Here is an 18,073-nt window from a genome sequence, read left to right as displayed (position 1 = left end):
ACACAGGCCTGGGTAGGATGGGCTGGATCTTCATCATTCCCTGGGCCCCCACTCACATGGCCCCAGGTTGGCAGGTGGGGGCGCGTTCAGTGCCAACCTGGCCCGAGTCTGATCCCGAAACTCCAGTTGCAAAGCCTGGTCACTTGTTTCCTGGGACAGGCCTGTCTACCCTCCGGGTTCCGGTGAAATTGAGAAGGGCAGCAAATTTTGAAAACAAGATGGAATTAGTCTCCGAAGAGCCCAGCGAATCCTTCTTTAACTGTATAAAAAGCTCCTTCTGCCCATCTGCAGACATGCGTGTCCTTCAAGCCAGTGTCCAGAATGGGCAAAAAGGAGCAGGACTTTGAGCTGTGCCAGACACATGAGCAGGCAGCGGACCTGCTTAGCCGCCAAAAACAGGAGAGATGGTCTCAGTCCAGTTTCTTCCCTCCCCGGGTGTGTGCACGCGAGAGAGGTCAACATTGTTTGTGGACAAAAGTGAAGTGACGTCAGAGAGAGCAGGCAACACTTTGGGTACCGGGGAGAATCTGGGACGCAGCCTGGGGTTCCTCCCCCAGCCCTGCTCGGCTGCCCAGCTGGGGAAAGAACAGGGAGGAAAACAGGGCCTCAGCCCTTCCCAGATGCCCTCACAAACCGGCTGCCTTAAGGTCCTGGTGGCATTTCCTGTGGGCTTGGCACCTTTCAAAGGACCCCAGGCCGGGTCCACACACCTGGGACTGAGCACGCGATGGTCACTCTGACGGCCGTCCAGCCTTGAGCCTGGCTCTGCCCCGGGACTGGGGTCAGGCACTGGGCTGGCACCATGCCCTGCGGCCAGCAGAGTGGCAGCTGCCTGGCTCACCCCTTAGAATCCCCCCAGTAAGGGACACAGGTGACAAGGGGTACCCGGGCCAGCCATGGGGCAGGCAGCAGGGCCGCCCTCCACACCCCAGGCAGACCCAAGTCAGATCTGTGTGATTTGATCTGTTTGCAAAAGGATCCCTTCTGCTCACTGCTCAGGGGCACACACGGCCTTCTGCTCACTGCTCAGGGGCACACGGCTATTTGTGTCCGCCAGGTGCGATTATGGAGACTTAGGGATGAATGCATCCTCTGAGCTGCCAGGACCCTGGGGCGTCCCAGGCATCTTGTCCAGTGGCTTAATGCTGAGCTGGTGCATGGACCAGATGAGCAACCTGTGAGAAAGATGTGTGGCTGGCATTTTAAATGAGGAATTACCCGGGCACCTCAGCACAGCCTTGCCACGTCCACCCCTCAGACGTTCCAAGAGGCTGCTGAGGACACTAGAAGGCAGTGTCAAGTCACACCAGACAGACACATCCTGCGGCTGGTGCCAGAGATGTGGGAGAAAGGGTTTGGGAGCTCTGAGCTTGGAAGCCAGCCTGACGGTGGAGGCTGCCGCTGAGGGAGGAGGCAGCCCTGATGATGCCGTCATCCCCTGAAAAGGGAGCACTGAGCCGGAAGGCAGCAGGCCTGGGAGGGAAGGGCGCCCCCCCAACCCCTACCTGCATTGGGCTGGCCAGGCAGGGGCCTGAGCTACTTCTGCTTTTGTTACTCAGAGTAACAATGAACCCCATGGATACAGAATCAGGGCTAGGCATGGTGGCTCATGCCTATAATCCCAGCACTTTAGGAGGCCAAAGCAAGAGGATTGCTTAAGGCTAGGAGTTCAAGAGCAGCCTGGGCAACATAGCAAGACCCTGTCTCTAAAAAAAAAAAAAAAAAAAAAGGTTTTTAATAATTAGCCAGACTAATGTTTGTATTTTTAGTAGAGACGGCGTTTTGCCATGTTGGCCAGGCTGGTCTCGAACTCCTGACCTCAGGTGATCCACCCGCCTTGGCCTTCCAAAGTGCTGAGATTACAGGCGTGAGCCACCACGCCTGGCCTCAGTTTGGGTTTCTAACGATTGCCTCTGAGTCTTCAAATCTCATGCTTTGCCTGCTACCCCGCGATTCATGGACTTTACACGTGATTTTCTGACTTCCTGCTTTAATAAAGTAGCATTTCATTTTGCCTTTGTGCACCTCCCAAAATAGCTCTATTATTGTTTATTTCCTTTGGTAATTACCTTGTTAACTTAAATAATATAATGGAACTGACATTTCTTGTTCTGAAAACCATGGACCAGCCCCCACCCCCATGCACGCATACACGCACACACACACATATTGGCACACATTCTCTCAGCATTCACAGCCACTTTATGATCTCATTCCAAAAGAGAAGACATGCAAGCCATCTACTTACCGAGGTTTTTTACCAATGGCTGTGGCGCCCAGCTGTCTTCCTGCTAGGTTTGTAGGGTCCTCTGGCTGTCGGGTGTTGTAGGCAGGTGCCAGGCGGGTACACGTATTGTTAAACGTCCCCGCCCAGCAGTGTCAGGTTGATGGTTGCAGTTGTTGTCAGCGTCCCATGAAAACGCGCATCCTTATGTAGAAAGAGTGGTAGATTCAGCCTCCTGAGGGTCGGGTCCCCGCGTAACTCTTAGTCTTTCTGTCTTGGTAGCCAGGAGCCCATCTCGCTGGCCAGCTGCGCCATGGCTGATCTGGTTCCAGACTTGCAGCCCATTCTTTTCTGGATGTCTAACTCCATCGAGCTCCTGTACTTTATCCAGCAGAAATGCCCACTCTACATGCAGAGCATGGAGGAGCAGCTGGACATCACAGGTACGGCTGGCGCTGCCCTCCATTCCCCCCGCCAGCACCCCAGGCAGGGGAGTGTGGCATCTCCTCGCCGTCCTCGGAACCTAGTTGGCCATGATAGCAGGGGTGGATTCATGCCGGGGGCTTCCTCAGTCCCTAGGCTGCCATGTGTCAGTTGCTCGGGGACGGCCTGTGAGGCTGGTGCTGGTGGCACGGGCCAGTCTGGCACCTCCCCCCACAGCACCTTGGCACTCAGTCTGTCCCCATCATCCCGTGTGCTCCGTGCGGTGGCGTCCCCTTGACCGCAGCCCCACTCTTCTGCTTGCAGGAGGGCCCGGGGGGTACACAGATCACTCAGTAGGGGAGACACAGATGCCACCGTGAACCAAATGTAAGGGGCGGTAGAGAGAGCGTCGGCCATGAGACCGCCGCCCGTTCTGAGACACACCGTTATTCCAGAAGGACAGATGTTGCCAGTCATTGTTGTGAAATTGTAGATTATGTCGGTTTCACAGATTAAGATGTGGGAAATACACATTTCGGGATTTCTTTTTCTTTTTTTGAGACGGAGTCTCGCTCTGTCACCCAGGCTGGAGTGCAATGGTGCGATCTTGGCTCACTGCAAGCTCCGTCTCCCAGGTTCAAGCGATTCTCGTGCCTCAGCCTCCCGAGTACCTGGGATTACAGGAGCATGCCACCTCGCCCGGCTAGTTTTTGTATTTTTGGTAGAGATGGGGTTTCACCATGTTTGCCAGGCTGGTCTCAAACTCCTGATCCGCCCCACCTCAGCCTCCCAAAGTGCTGGGATTACAGGCATGAGCCACCGTGCCTGGCCACCATTTCAGGATTTCTGAAATGCAGTAGGAAGTGTTCTGAAAATACTAAGGGAGAGGGATTCCATCGGGGCAGTCTAGGGGGCTTCGAGAGGAAGGTGGCATGGGGCCGGGCCCGGAAGCCGGGGTAGGATTTCGGCTCATGTGTCTGCTAAGGACTGTGTGGGGCCTGGAATGGAGCCAGACGGGGCAGCAGGACTGTGCTGCTGTGCTGCGGAAGTGAGGAGCCGGCCCAGGGAACTGGGGGCCAGACCTCTCATGGGAAGCCTTGGTTCTGCCCCCAACGGCCTTGCTGTCCACCCACTGCCCTCACATCTGTGGGGTGGGCTGTCAGGCGGGCACAGTGCCAGAGGGTCCTGAGTGGCCGTGGCGTGGCGGTCTGGCTTCTGGAGGATCCGGGTAGGGAGTGGTGCATTCAGAGCTGCTCCAGGCTGCGTCTCTGAGCTTCGAGGGAGGCGCAGGCCCGGTGTGCAGGGACAGGAGCTCCCACAGGCTCAGTCTACCAGACGCTGCGGGGTCTCTGTGTACTCAGCTGTGTCCCCATCCCTGGGAGGGGGCTGTGGCTGTGGCTGCATCTGAGACAGCCCGGAGGACACAAGGCCAGGCGAGGTACTGGCCAGGCTGTGTTGGGGGCGCTGGGACCCTGCTGTGCCCCCCCATGCCTTAGGGGCAGGTTTCCTGAGAGGAGGGGCTCTCCGTGGTGAGAGGGAGGTGGCGGGGCATCTGCACAGTGACCCTGTGGTGGGACAGGCTCCCACAATGCGTCGGGGCCCAGTCCTCAGCCTCCGGGCGGGGGCCGGGCTGCAGAGACCAGGCTGGACTGAGGGCGCGTGGAACAGGCCGGGCTGGCCCTGGCCATGAGGTTGTGGGGTGGGGCCCCCGCTCCTGGGGGAGGCAGAGCCGGCCAGGATCTGTCCGAGTTCCTTCCTGCCGGCCACGGTTCCTTCCCACTGTTTCCTTCTCCCCTCCTTCACAGGGAAGGGGATGTGGGGATCTGCCAGGGTCTCCCCAGTCCTGGGAATCGGGGCTGCCTTCAATATGTGGGGGTAGTGTCAACCCCTCCTGGCCTTGGTGGGCATCCGGGCATCTGGCCTGTGCCCTTGCCCCCCACGTGATGGGGCAGCCCCTGCCTGTCCATGGGGCCTGGGCCTAGGGTAGACCTTTCCTCTGGCTTTTTCCTGGAAAGTGACGTAAACGACTGTGGGTCCCTAAGTCTCCACGCAAGGTTCCCACCTCCAGCTGCCCAGCTACAGGCCTCCCCTGGGGCTCCTGGGCTCCCGGGACTACAGCGCCCGTCGCCTCTCCCTGCAGACCTGACTCTGCCATCCTCCAGGGCTGGATTTGCAGCCGGCAGGTGGCCCTGGGATGGAGGCAACTCCGGAGTTGCGGCCGGCCAAGGGTGACCCTCACTGACCTTGCAGTGCACTTGGTCCTTCCGTGTGACAGGGGGACGGGGCCAGCTTAGGAGCCCCTTTTGTTCCGGCCCCCACAGGAAGAGTCAGCTCAGGGACCTGTGATTTTTCGGCTCTGTGTTCCTGGAGAGTCCCCGGCTGACTTTCCACGTGGCTTCGTGGCTGCCTGGGTTTGGTGGCCGCAGGCAGCTGGGTCCCATGTGGTCCCCGTGCTGGCTGCTCTTCATGGGAAAAATTGCTCTGGGCTGTTGGAGCTGCTGCCTTTGGTCTTGGGAGGAAGTTATTTTTGGTCAGGGGCCTGAGCAGTGTTTGGCCCGGCGATGGGAGCCAGGGCCCAGGGATGCCTGCAGGCTCCGGGTGTCGAGGGCCAGGCAGGCACCAGGGAACAGAGTGGGAAATAGCCCCTAGAAGGGGCCGGAGGGGCAGAGCCCCGTCAGCCTCCCGACCCTCTGCAGGAAATGTCTGTGGGAAGAATTCGGAGAGCAGGGCTGTCGCGTCCCGAGGGTGGGTCACGTGGCTGTTGTCATTCCGCAAACACTGTTTTGTACAAAGCTCTGACCCAGGCCCCTCCCGCGCCGCCTCACACCATCGTGTGCGCCTCAGATTCTCCTCGTGGCTGGAGCTCAGCGCCTTCTTCTTTAGGGATAGGGCCAGCTTCCTCAGGGGTCCTGGAGTTTCGGGGCAGGGCAGGGGCAGCCGGCTGGTGTGTCCTCTTAATGGCTCGTGGGCGTCGGAAATCCTCAGAAATGCCCACCAGCCCTGGTACCACAGGGAGAGGCGTCTCCGGGGGTTTAGAAATGGAGTCTCAGGGCTGGGCTCACACCTGTCCTCCCCGCACTTTGGGAGGCCGAGGCAGGCAGATCACATGAGGTCAGGAGTTTGAGACCAGCCTGGCCAACATGGTGAAACCCCGTCTCTACTAAAAATACAAAAATTAGCCAGGCATGGTGGCATGTGCCTGTAGTCCTAGCTACTTGGGAGGCTGAGGCAGGAGAATCGCTTGAACCTGGAAAGCTGAGGCTGCAGTGAGCTGGGATTGTGTCATTGCACTCCAGCCTGGGCGACAGAGTGAGACTCTGTCTTTAAAAAAAAAAAAAAAAGAGAGAGAGAGAGAGAGAAATGGAGTCTCAGGGCCGGGTGCAGGGGTGCATGCCTGTAATCCCAGCACTTTGGGGGGCCAAGGCGGGTAGATTGGAGTTCCAGACCAGCCTGGGCAACATAGTGAGATCCCATCTCTACCAAAAATTAAATAAAAGAAGAAATGGAGTCTCAGGCCCGTGGTGGGTGGCTGGAGGCTGCTTTGTGGTTTCATTCAGCACAGTCCCTGCCACCTTCTCCTGTCATTCCCATGCCCCGTTTCCCTCTTCCCACCAGTGCCCCGCCCCTGCCCAGGGAGTGATGTGGGGCTGGGTTCTCAGACCTGGCAGCCTGAGGCAGCCAGGGTCAGGGCACCAGGACAGGTGGACGGGACAGAGCTCAGCCTCCTGACCCGCCTGCCGTGGCTGTGAATATCCTTTGCCGGCACTCGCTGTGGGCGCCGTCGGGCCACCTTGTGTGTCTCCACAGGCCTGGAGGCTTCTGGGCACAGTGTTGAGGTTGGCAGAGCCCGAGAGCCCCTTACTGCCCCGGACCCCGGGGTCCCTCCAGCTGCCCTGCCTGGTTCCCAGATGTGACCCTGTGGGGCAGGCACTGGGGGGCTTCACAGGTTCTTGGGGAGCGGGCTTGGTGGGTGGGGGCCAGGCAGCCCCAAGCCCCTGAAGGAGGAGCACCAGGAGCGGCAGAGCGAAAGTGACAGGGGCTTGTCCAAGGGCTTGGCGCACCATTGTCCTGGCCATGAGTGGGCCGGCCTCCGGTGCAGTCTGCCCGGCAGAGGGGCAGCTGGGGGCCTGTGCTCCTGGGAGGCCCGCGCTGGGGTGAGTGTTGGCCTGGCTCACCAGGCGCCGCCCATGCAGCCCTGGCAGGCGGCCTGGACAGGCAGCCCCCACGATGCGGCCCCTCTGCCCCTCCTGGAAGAAGGCCCCACAGGAGGGAGAGGAGGGGAGCTGTGGCCGCCCACGCGGCTGACAGGGAACACCACTGTGGTTGGCCGCCCACAGTCCCAGGAGAGAATGAAGGCGCCCAAAGGCGGAACACCCAGGGTCCTGGCCCCTTCCCCAGGTGCTGATGGGACCCTCAGTCACTGAGACCACCACATGCTCCCTCACTTTCTGGAAGCCCCCGGGGAAGGCTCCACCCTGTTGGGGGCCTCCCACCTTCACAAGAGCCCCCACCCAGACGGCAGGAACCACTCCGTGGGCAGCTCCCCCCAGCCTCAGCTCCAGCCGCCCCGGCTGACACCCGGGGGTGGGGGTGAAATAGCTGATTTGGGCTTTTTCTTCCCAAAAGACTTATGATTCCACAGAGTGGCGGCCACTCAGGGGCTGCTGCCAGAGTCCTGTGACCCGTGTCGCGAGTGAGAGGTGACCTGTGGGGAGGCAGTTAGGACCTGCTATGTTGGGTGCAGTTGGTTGTAACAGAAAACGTATCCAGAACGTGGGAGTGAATGAGCGCTTGGGCTGGGCTGGGCTGGGCATTGAGATGTTGGGTGTCTGGACCCCTCCTGCCCCTCCCGGCATTCCCCTCCCCAGGTAAGAGTGGCGGCAGGTTTGCTGCGCTCGTCCCAGCCAGGGCCCAGAGTCCCTCGGCCAGTTTATCGCATCTGGACCCCAGATGGGCGCGTTGGGTGGTGCCCGCGCCAGGGAAAGAGCTGGCGGCTGGCTGAGTTGCTGCGTTCCTGAGCGCTGTGCCCGTTGTGACCATTGGCGTGGCTGTCTCCCGGCAGGCTCGAAGGAATCGCTGTTCTCCTGCACGCTGACGGCCAGCGAGGAGGCCATGGCGGTGCTGGAGGAGGTGGTGCTGTACGCCTTCCAGCAGTGCGTCTACTATGTCTCCAAGGTGCACGGACGGGCTCTGCTTCTGCACTCAGGCAGCTCCTGGGATCAAGTGGGGCTCAAGCTTGTGCCTGTGGCTCTCCTAAGGAGCCTTCTGGGGGGCTGAGGGAGGGGACCGTGACAAGCTCCACTTCATCAGGGAGCAGTGGCTGCAGGTTCTGCACAGGCCCAGCTGCACCCCCCACACCCGCTCCTCCTCAGGTCGCACAGAAGCCCTAGAACCATCCCAGCTCCCTTTCCCTCGCCTTGAAACGCCCCCTTCCTGCCAGTATTTCGAGGGTCAGGGATGAGGTGGGGGAGGCCCCAGCATGGGGCGCAAGGGACATGGCCCTGTTGTCACCCTGGACCCACGGGTGCCAGAGGTGCTGCCGCCGGTCCCCCTGTGGCCCTGGCCAGCTTGGGGTGCATCGGGGGTGCGGTGAGCCACTTTCTGGGGGAGTGGTGACTCTCCCGTCATTTTGTTGGAGCCCCTTTGTTGGAGCCCATCCCCCCAGGCGCCACCTCTGTGCGCCTTCTGAGTTCATCTGTGCCTCCGACAGCAGATCCCCCTGAGCCCCCTGCACCCCACCTCTGCTCCCAGCAGCCCCAGGAGGCAGCTCCTGTGTCCCCACATCCCACACTGGACATTTGCAAAGCCATGGCCTGTCCAGCAGGAAGCTACCGAGGCCGGGTCCCTGCAAGCAGTGCGTGGGTGGGGAGCTCGCTGGGTCAGGCCCCCCGTTCGGCCGCCAGCGCTCCTGGAAATGCTGGTTGCTGTTCTCCTCTTGCCCCCGCCAGTCCCTGTACATCTGCCTCCCGGCACTCCTGGAGTGCCCGCCATTCCAGACGGAGCGCCGTGAGAGCTGGTCCTCGGCCCCCGAACTGCCCGAGGAGCTGCGCCGCGTGGTGTCTGTGTACCAGGCAGCCCTGGACCTCCTGCGGCAGCTGCAGGTGCACCCCGAGGTGGCCTCGCAGATGCTCGCCTACCTCTTCTTCTTCTCCGGGACACTGCTTCTCAACCAGCTCCTCGACAGGGGTGAGGGCCTCGTGCAGGGTTGAGGGGTCGGGGGCTCACATTCCTGGACATGACGGCTGCTGGCGCCTCCCTCGCCAGCTCCTGGAGGCGGCTCTGCCCTTTTTGGCCTCCTGCTCCCTGAGCGTCTGGTGTCCCTGAGGGGTGAGAGGCCAGAGTGAGGGGGGACAGATCAGCACAGCGCATCCCGTAGGAGCCAGGGTCCCATCGGGGTTTCAGAGAAGCCACGGCCGAGAGGTCTGCATGGGACCCCTTCCCCGTGACAGGGAGGGAACGGGCTCAGGGCATCATTGGACTGTCCCAGAACTGCCCGGTGGACATGTCAGGGCCAGGATGGAACCCAGGTCTGTGCAGCCGCGGACTCTGGCCTTGGACCCTGCCTTGTGGAGTGACTTCCCCCATCACCTGCAGGGCTCAGGAGCACTGGCCACTCCCAGCCAGGGCCACTGTGGGGCGTGGGGAGACCCAGGTGGGGGCAGGCCCCCGGCACATGTGTCTGGGAGTGGGAGAGGGTCCCAGCTAGGGGCTGCACTGTGGAGTCAGCGGCAGTCACAGCCCACCCTGCCCTGCTACGTTCACCTCCCACCGTACCCCCGCTCCAGAGAGGGGTTCAAGGCTGGTCAGTTGCCTTGAAAACCGAGGGAAGGTGTCCTGCCTGTCATCGAGCTGTGATGTCCTCAGTGGCCCAGAGCCGGGAAGGGCAGGCTCTGGGGACAGGCCCATGTCTGTGTCCCCCCAGGAGGGCAGCCCAGGCATCACCCTCCCTTCTTCCCTCCACAGGCCCCTCCCTGAGCTGCTTCCACTGGCCCAGAGGTGTCCAGGCCTGCGCCCGCCTGCAGCAGCTCCTGGAGTGGATGCGGAGCGCCGGCTTCGGGGCGGCTGGAGAGCACTTCTTCCAGAAGCTCTCCTGCACCCTCAACCTGCTGGCCACACCCAGGGCCCAGCTCATCCAGGTAGGGGTGCGCATGGGAGGCGGCGAGTGTGGGGAGGGGCGGGGCCACATGCTGTGGGTCCCTGGCTCACAAACCAAGCCTGGGGGCCGGGACGGGGCTTCTTGGCTGGAAACCTCAAAGCTACCGTAGGTAATCAGAAAAGTTGCTTCCATTCCATGGCTGTGTCCACCTGCGGTAGACAGGATAATGGCCCAAAGATGTCTGAGACCCGTGACCGTCTTACCCTGTGACCGTATTACCCCACATGGCAAAGAAGCCTCTGTACGTGTGACTACGATTAAGGACCTTGAGATTCGGAGATGACCTGGGTATCCGGGTGGCCCAGTCCACTCAGACAAGTCCAGAAGGTCAGAGAGAAACAGAAGAAGAGGGGATGTGGCTCTGAGGCTGGAGGAGGGGCCAGGAGCACAGGAGTGCAGTGGCCTCTAGAAGCTGGAGTGACCCCAGCTGACAGCCAGTCTGGAAACGGGACCCCAGTCCTACAACCACAGGAACTGAATTCTGACAGCAACCGGAAGAGCAGGGAGACAGATCCTCCCCCGGGGGCTTCATCTTGCTGTCAGCTCTGTGAGACCCGGCTGAGCTGTGGAGCCGCGGAGCTGTGAGAGTGCACTGTGTGGCCGTGACCGCCAGGCGTGTGGGCATTTGTCACAACGGCAATGGGAAACCGACATGCCCCTCCCTGCTTCCCTCGCTGCTCACCACCCCCCTCCCAACACAGTCAGCCACTCACCACCCCCCTTCCCAACACAGTCATCACAGGTAATTAATGGAAATAGACCGATGGTTTCCTCTCCTGCCTGGAAAACGCTGAACATGCTGTACTGTGATGGTGACAGTGGCCACAGGGCGAATCGCTTGAACCCGCGAGGCAGAGGTTGCAGTGAGCCGAGATCATGCCACTGCACTCCACCTTGAGCGACAAAGTGAGGCCCTGTCTCAAAAGAAAAAAAAAGTGAAGCATTTTTATTGACTGTAGAAAATTCGTAAAATGAGGCTGTCTGGATCCTACGTGTGGCAGATTGAACACATGAATTTAGTTTGCTTCTCCTACAGTATCACTAAACAGAAGTAAAGCAATGCTTTTTAATGCCACAAACCCATGAGGATAAAATCTAGAGGAGGCAAAAGCAATGCGATTTTGGAAGGCAGAAAGCAGATGGGTGAACTGCCTTAGCAGATTGAAGAAAGCTGACTCGGCCAGGCACGGTGGCTCATGCCTGTCCTCCCAGTGCTTTGAGAGGCTGAGGTGGGAGGATCACTTGAGGCCATTGGTTTGAGACCAGCCTGGGCAACACAGCGAGACCCCATCTCTACAAAAAAGAAAAAAGCAATCTGACTCCTGAGAAGCAACCCAGTTTACAGGAAGCCACCAAGAGGCTCAGGAATTGGTGGCACCAGGTACCTCTGGACACCGATGTCAAGATGGGGCTAAAACAGAAGAACAGTTGATAGACATTGTGGCAAGCACTGAGGCTTGGATGGAGCAGCTGAGCCTGCAGTTCCACTGAGGACAGCCCGCACAGCCGGAAAGAAACACAAAGTCATCTGTTGAAAGGCGTGAGCGAGCTCCTGAAGGATGAGGAGAGAGTGAGCCTCCACAAAGAGCTGACTGAAGTTCCTGTTGCTTTTCCCTGGGGACATTTGCTGTCCTGGGAGCAGGTGACGGTGTGAGGCTGAGAATCTAGGCTTTGTCCAGGCAGGGGCCACTGGTGGGGAAACAGAAACTGGAACAGCACAGCACTGGCCATCTCACAGGAGGGAGGCAAGCTCAGAGACTTCAGGGGCCTGAATTGCATGGCCGGCTTTTCCCTAAGACACTTGCCAACATTCTGAATCTCCAGGGAGTGCGATGGAGAGAGGCTTTAAAACGGAACCAAAAGCATTGAAAAGGGGAGTGGAATCTGTGGTGCCTTCACAGTGTAGAGGAGACAGAGATGACGAGTCCAGGACCCCTTGGGAAGTAAACACCAGGCCCCCAGTGGAAACACTGGGGTGAGAGGCAGGCATGGGGCAAACGCCTGTAGTGCCAGCTACTTGGGAGGTTGAGGTAGGAGGATCATTTGAGTCCAGGAATTAAACGCTTCAGTGAGCCATGATCACACCACTGCACTCCAGCCTGGGCAACAGAGGAAGACCTCAACTATGAAAGAAAGAAAAGAAAGAAAGAAAGGAAAGAGAGAGAGAGAGAGAGAGAGAGAGAAAGAAGAACCTTGGGGTAAGGATGAAGCAGAGGCTGTCTGAGCCTCACCAAAAGCTTGCCAACCCCAACTCAGCATTAAGTTCATTGGCAACAATGAAGATACAAAATATCCAAACCTGTGGGCTGCAGTTAAAGCAGTCTTAAGAGGAAAAGTTATAGCCTTATATGTATATGTTAGAAAACAAGGAAGGCCAAGAATGAATAATCATGAGGTAAGAAAGAGAATGACAAATCAAACCCAAGGAAAGCAGAGGAGATGACGGATGAGAGCTAAAAATCAGTGAACTAGGAAGCAAACAGGGTTGAGATAAGCAATAAAGCCAGGAGTGGGTTCTTTGAAAAGTTGAATAAGAGGCTGGGTGTGGTGGCTTACACCTGTAATGCCAGCACTTTGGGAGGCTGAGGCAGGTGGATCATTTGAGGTCAGGAGTTTGAGACCAGCCTGCCCAATATGGCAATACCCCGTCTCAACTAAAAATACAAAAATTAGCTGGGCGTGGTGGCACGTGCCTGTAATTTCAGCTACTTGGGAGGCTGAGGCAGGAGAATCCCTTGAACCTGGGGGGCAGAGGCTGCAGTGAGCCGAGATCATGCCATTGCACTCCAGCCTGGGTGACAGAGCAAGACTGTCTCAAAAATAATAATAATAAAATAAAAATAGAAAGTTGAATAAGGGAGAAAACACAATTGCTAGTATCAGAAAAAGGAGGCCATCACTCAGATTCCACAGTAAAAATTAAAAATTAGTAGTAAGAGGAGATCATAACCAACTTTTTGCTGATAAATTTGACAATTTAGATGAAATGGACAAATAAGAAAAAGAATACTTATTGAAACTGATTCAACAGGAAGTTAAAAATCTGAATGGTCCTGCATGCTTTAGAGAAACTGAAAGGCCAGGTGTGGTAGCGCCCACCTGTAATCCTAGCACTTTGGGAGGCCAAGGCAGGAGGATCCCTTGAGACCATGAGTTCAAGACCAGCCTGGGCAACATGGTGGAACCCCTATCTCTACAAAAACACACACAGAAAAAGTAGCCAGGCATGGTGATGCATGCCCGTGGTCCCAGCTACTTAGAAGGCTGAGGCAGGAGGATTCCAGGAGCCCAGGAGACTGAGGTTTCAGTGAGTTATGGTTGTGCCACTGCACTCCAGCCTGGACGTCAGAAATGAGACCTTGTCTCAAATAAAAAAAAAAGAAATTAAATTGATTAACATTTTCCCCTGAAGAAGATTCAAGGTCCAGATGGTTTCATTGGTGAATTATTTTAAACATTAAAGAAGAATTAGGCCAGGCGCGGTGGCTCACGCCTGTAATCCCAGCACTTTGGGAGGCCGAGTTGGGTGGATCACGAGGTCAGGAGATCGAGACCATCCTAGCTAACAAGGTGAAACCCCATCTCTACTAAAAATACAAAAAATTAGCCGGGCACGGTGGCGGGCGCCTGTAGTCCCAGCTACTTGGGAGGCTGAGGCAGGAGAATGGCGTGAACCCGGGAGGCGGAGCTTGCAGTGAGCCGAGATTGCGCCACTGCACTCCAGCCTGGGTGACAGAGTGAGACTCCATCTCAAAAAAAAAAAAAAAAAAAAAAAAAAGAAATAATACCATCAGTACCAAATTCTTACCAGAAAGTAGAAAAAGAGGAAACCCTACCTCACTTTAAAACACCAGTAATACCTTGACAGCAAAACTCGAAAAGGGGCTGTAAGAAAAGAGAATTACGCATGAAAGATGGACAACTTCATTCGTCATCAGAGAAACGCAGCCCAAACTCTCCACATTTCAGGCTGGTCCGAGTGTATTGGTGTTTAGAACTAATTCATCACAACCAGTTACAGATTTTGTTGTTTCTTCTCCACTCGCATTGCTTCACTTGACTAGCCTTAAAAAACAAAAGCAAAAACAAACCTCAACAGTTTTTTTTTTTGTTTTTTGAGACGGAGTCTCACTCTGTCGTCCAGGCTGGATGGAGTGCAGTGGTGTGATCTCAGCTCACTGCAACCTCCACCTCCTGGGTTCAAGCAATTCTCCTGCCTCGGCCTCTTGAGTAGCTGGGGTTACAGGCATGTGCCACCACACCCAGCTAATTTTTGTATTTTTAGTAGAAATGGAGTCTCACCATGTTGACCAGGCTGGTGGACAAACTCCTGACCTCAGGTGATCCGCCCACCTCAGATTCCCAAAGTGCTGGGATTACAGGTGTGAGCCACCACGCCCGGCCTAATCTCAGCGTTTTAAACACCGAACACATGAGAATGGTTGAAAGGAAGAAAGCCAGGCCCTGGTGAGCAGGTGCAGTGGTTTGAACCCTCAGGTGTTCCTGGTGACGTTGTAAATGAGGCTCGCCACTTTGGAAAGCCGTCTGGCAGCGTCAGCTGAAGCTGACCGAGTGCATGTGCTCCGATTGAGCAATTTCCCCGACGGAGATGCTTCCGTGGGTCCCTCGCCACGGCCCGCTTAGGGATGCTTCCAGTGGCGCCACTCGTAACCGCCCCAGACTGGGAAAAACCCATATTCTATTTATCAACAACATGAGGGATGAATAAAGCAGTCTCTTCAGTACAGTGAAATACGGCAGAGCAACGTGACTGAGCAAACTCGTTCCTGGGAGACACGGACACACCTGAACCGTCGGCTGGGCACTTTGGGAGGCCGAGGCAGGAGGATCACTTGAGCCCAGGACTTCCAGACCAGCCTGGGTAACACAGTAAGACCACCCCACATCATCTTTCCAAACATAAATTTTTTTTTAAATTAGCCAGGCATGGTGATGTGTATTCCCAACTACCTGGGGAGGCTGAGGCAGGAGAATTGCTTAAGCACAGGGGGTTTGCAGTGAGCTGTGATCGTGCCACTGCACTCCAGCCTGGGTGACAGAGTAAGACCCTGTCATAAAATTAAATAATAAAAGAAAATAAATAAGGCCGGGCATGGTGGCTGACGCCTGTAATCCCAGCACTTTGGGAGGCCGAGGTGGGTGGATCACCTGAGGTCAGGAGTTCGAGACCAGCCTGGCCACCACTGAAACCTCATCTCTACTAAAAATAGAAAAACTAGCCAGGCATGGCGTAAATATACAAAAATTAGGCAGCTATTCAGGAGGCTGAGACACATGAATCACTGGAACCCGGGAGATGGAGCTGGCAGTGAGCCGAGATCACACCACCACACTCCAGCCTGGGTGACAGAGCAAGACGCTGTCTCTATTAAAAAAATACAAAAATTAGCCAGGCGTGGTGTAAAAATACAAAAATTAGCCAGCTACTCGGGAGGCTGAGACGTATGAATCACTTGAACTCGGGAGATGGAGGTTGCAGTGAGCCGAGATCACGCCACTGCACTCCGGCCTGGGCGACAGAGCGAAACCCCGTCTCTAAATAAATCAATTAAATAAAATAAAATAAATAAATAAATAAAATAAGATGTAAAATACTCCTGAAAGGGCAGGTTGAGCTGAAGGAGTCGAGTTCAAGGAGCGTGTCTGCAGGGCTGGAAGTGGGGCGGGACCTGCCGTGGTGCCTGGGCGGGCCTGGGGGCTCCCGAGCAGCCGCCGCCCACGTTCTTGTTCTTGTTTTGGGGGCTGGACACACAAGCGTGTTCCTCGGGGGAAATTCGTTGGCTTGTGCGTGTCAGATGTGTGGTTTCCTGTGTGCACGGAAAGGAGGCAGCAGCGACACTCAGGATCTCCGCCTCCCCCCGCTCAGCCGGGCGGGGATATTTCTAGAACGTTGAAAACAGGACTTCTCCTGGCTAGGGAAACTAGGCCGAGCCGAGGGCAGGAACCTCGTGATGGAAGGGGGGCCCCGGCCTCTCGCCCAGCTTGGCGGCCAGGCCCGAGCGCCCCTGCGGGAGATGGGCAGGCCCGAGTCGGCAGTGACAGCCCGGGGAGGCGGGGGACAGCGCCAGGGGTCTTCCAGAAGCGGCCGGGCCACCCCACGCTGAGGCCAGGAAGCGCCTGTCCTGCGCCCCGCATCCTGAGCAGAGCGTCTACAGGAGACGCGGAGGGGCAGTGGCATTGGAACGGGGGGGCAGTGGCGTCGGAAGGGGACAAGGGGGGGCAGTGGCGTCGGAAGGGGACGCGGGGGGGCAGTGGCGTTGGAACGGGGGCAGTGGCGTCGGAAGGAGACGTGGAGGGGCAGTGGCGTTGGAAGGAGACGTGGGGGGGCAGTGGCGTCGGAACGGGGGGCAGTGGCGTTGGAAGGAGACGCGGAGGGGCAGTGGCGTTGGAAGGAGACGCGGAGGGGCAGTGGCGTCGGAAGGAGACACGGAGGGGCAGTGGTGTTGGAATGGAGGGCAGTGGCGTCGGAACGGGGGGCAGTGGCGTTGGAAGGAGACGCGGAGGGGCAGTGGCGTTGGAAGGAGAAACGGAGGGGCAGTGGCGTTGGAACGGGGGCAGTGGCGTCGGAAGGGGACGCGGAGGGGCAGTGGCGTTGGAAGGAGAGACCAGGGCCGCGGGGCTGCTTCTTGTAAAGGGCCAAGCTGTGAGGACTTCGGGCTTTGCGGCCGCTTTTGTCTATGTCCCATCTCCTTCTTTGTTTTGTTTTTCTCAAACCCTTTAAAAACGTGAAAACCATTTCTAGCTTGGGGGCCCTATAAAAATAGGCCTCGCTGGCCCTAGTTTGATGACCCCTGAAACAGACAATTCAAGGAGAAGCTTAGTGAAAGAGTCACTTATAGCTTCATAAAAATAAGAGAAGATATAGTATCCATAAAATAATAATAAGATTGTATCCATGAGAGAACAAGAGCGGTCTTGGAAAATAAAACTGTGGAAGCAGAAATAAAAAGCTGTGCAGAGCCTGGGAGAAAAGCCCTCCAGAGAGGAGGGTGAGGAGCGGGGAGAGAGAGGGGGCGGAGGGATGCCAGGGTAGGGAGGAGAGTAAGAAGGCAGAAGAAGATACAGGGAGAGAGGGGAGAGAGAGAAGGACGGGGGAGAGAGGAAGAGGGGAAGGAGAGGAGGAGAAGGAAGAGAGGAAGAAGGAGGAGGGAGGGGAGAGAGACAGAGGGAGGGAGGGAGAGAAGGAGAGGGAGGAAGGAGCGGAGAAAGATGGAGGGAGAGGAGAGGGAGGAGGGAGGGGAGAGAGACAGGGAGAGAGGGAGGAGGGAGAGGAGAGAGACAGGGAGGGAGAGGAGAGGGAGGAGGAAGTGGAGAGAGGGAGGGACAGGGAGAAGAAGAGGGAAGAGGGAGGGGAGAGAGATGGGGGGGAGAGAGAGGCAGGGAGGGGAGAGAGAGAGGGAGAGAGAAGAAGAGGGGTAGGAAGGAGGAGAGAGGGAGGGAGAGGAGACGGAGGAGGAAGGGGAGAGAGACGGAGGGGGAGAAAGGGAGGAGGGAGGGCAGAGAGACGGAGGGGGAGAAGGAGAGGGAGGAGGGAGGGGAGAGAGATGGAGAGAAGGAGAGGGAGGAGGGAGGGGAGACAGAGAGAGAGAAGGAGCGGGAGGAGGGAGGGGAGACGGGGGGAGAGAGAAGGAGAGGGAGGAGGGAGGGGAGACAGGGAGAGAGAGAAGGAGAGGGAGGAGGGAGGGGAGACAGAGGGAGAGAGGAGGGAGGGGAGACGGAGAGGGAGGAGGGAGAGGAGACAGACAGAGGGAGGGGGAGAAGGAGAGGGAAGAAGGAGGAGAGTTCTGTTCCCTTGAAGCTGATCTCTTGGCCCCGACCTCTGGTCCCGGACCAAGCACAGAAGTGAGAGTAGAGAAGGTTCTAGGAACTCACAATCAAACAGAACCACCCCCGGGCAAACCAGAGGCTTTCTTGAAGGGTGTGTAAGGGGTGAGGGTGGTGGGGGCCGGTGGTGTTGGAGGACGTCGTTCTGTGCCCTCACCCCTCCTGCACGACGCCCGAGACACCGATTATCCTTCAGCGTGGACATCTGGTAGCCACAGCCCAGGCCCCTGGATATGGGCAGAAAAACACATGGGAGAGAAACAGAGCGAGGAGGCAAAGGTGAGAACAGAGGGGACCCAGCAGCGAGGCCACATCCAAACAGTGGGAGTCCAGAAAGAGCCAGCAGAGGGGTGGAGGGCGCGGGGAAGGCAGGTGCAGGCAGTCTCCAGAGCCACGCATTGAGGTGGAGGAGCTGCTGCCAAGAG

At 57.5% G+C, this 18,073-nt stretch overlaps 1 protein-coding gene across 1 annotated transcript in view, besides 2 other annotated features; it reads left to right on the top strand.

The window, feature by feature from the left end:
• RADIL (Rap associating with DIL domain) overlaps positions 1–18,073 on the top strand; it is an 86,662-nt gene that overhangs the window by 58,656 nt on the left and 9,933 nt on the right. The window contains exons 6-9 of the mRNA NM_018059.5: positions 2,507–2,667; positions 7,710–7,822; positions 8,596–8,833; positions 9,611–9,783. Of these exons, the coding sequence (NP_060529.4) occupies positions 2,507–2,667; positions 7,710–7,822; positions 8,596–8,833; positions 9,611–9,783 (685 nt within the window). The remainder of the gene's footprint in view (positions 1–2,506; positions 2,668–7,709; positions 7,823–8,595; positions 8,834–9,610; positions 9,784–18,073) is intronic.
• Positions 15,788–16,287: an enhancer, noted in NCBI's record as "H3K4me1 hESC enhancer chr7:4848405-4848904 (GRCh37/hg19 assembly coordinates)". NCBI's record gives its function as "activates a minimal SCP1, AML or CMV promoter by ChIP-STARR-seq in primed H9 embryonic stem cells {active_cell/tissue: H9 hESC(primed)}" and the evidence as "EXISTENCE:reporter gene assay evidence [ECO:0000049][PMID:30033119]".
• Positions 16,288–16,789: an enhancer, noted in NCBI's record as "H3K4me1 hESC enhancer chr7:4847903-4848404 (GRCh37/hg19 assembly coordinates)". NCBI's record gives its function as "activates a minimal SCP1, AML or CMV promoter by ChIP-STARR-seq in primed H9 embryonic stem cells {active_cell/tissue: H9 hESC(primed)}" and the evidence as "EXISTENCE:reporter gene assay evidence [ECO:0000049][PMID:30033119]".

Source organism: Homo sapiens, chromosome 7 (assembly GCF_000001405.40).
Source record: "Homo sapiens chromosome 7, GRCh38.p14 Primary Assembly".
NCBI lineage: Eukaryota > Metazoa > Chordata > Mammalia > Primates > Hominidae > Homo > Homo sapiens.
This window is presented reverse-complemented; position numbering and strand designations above follow the sequence as displayed.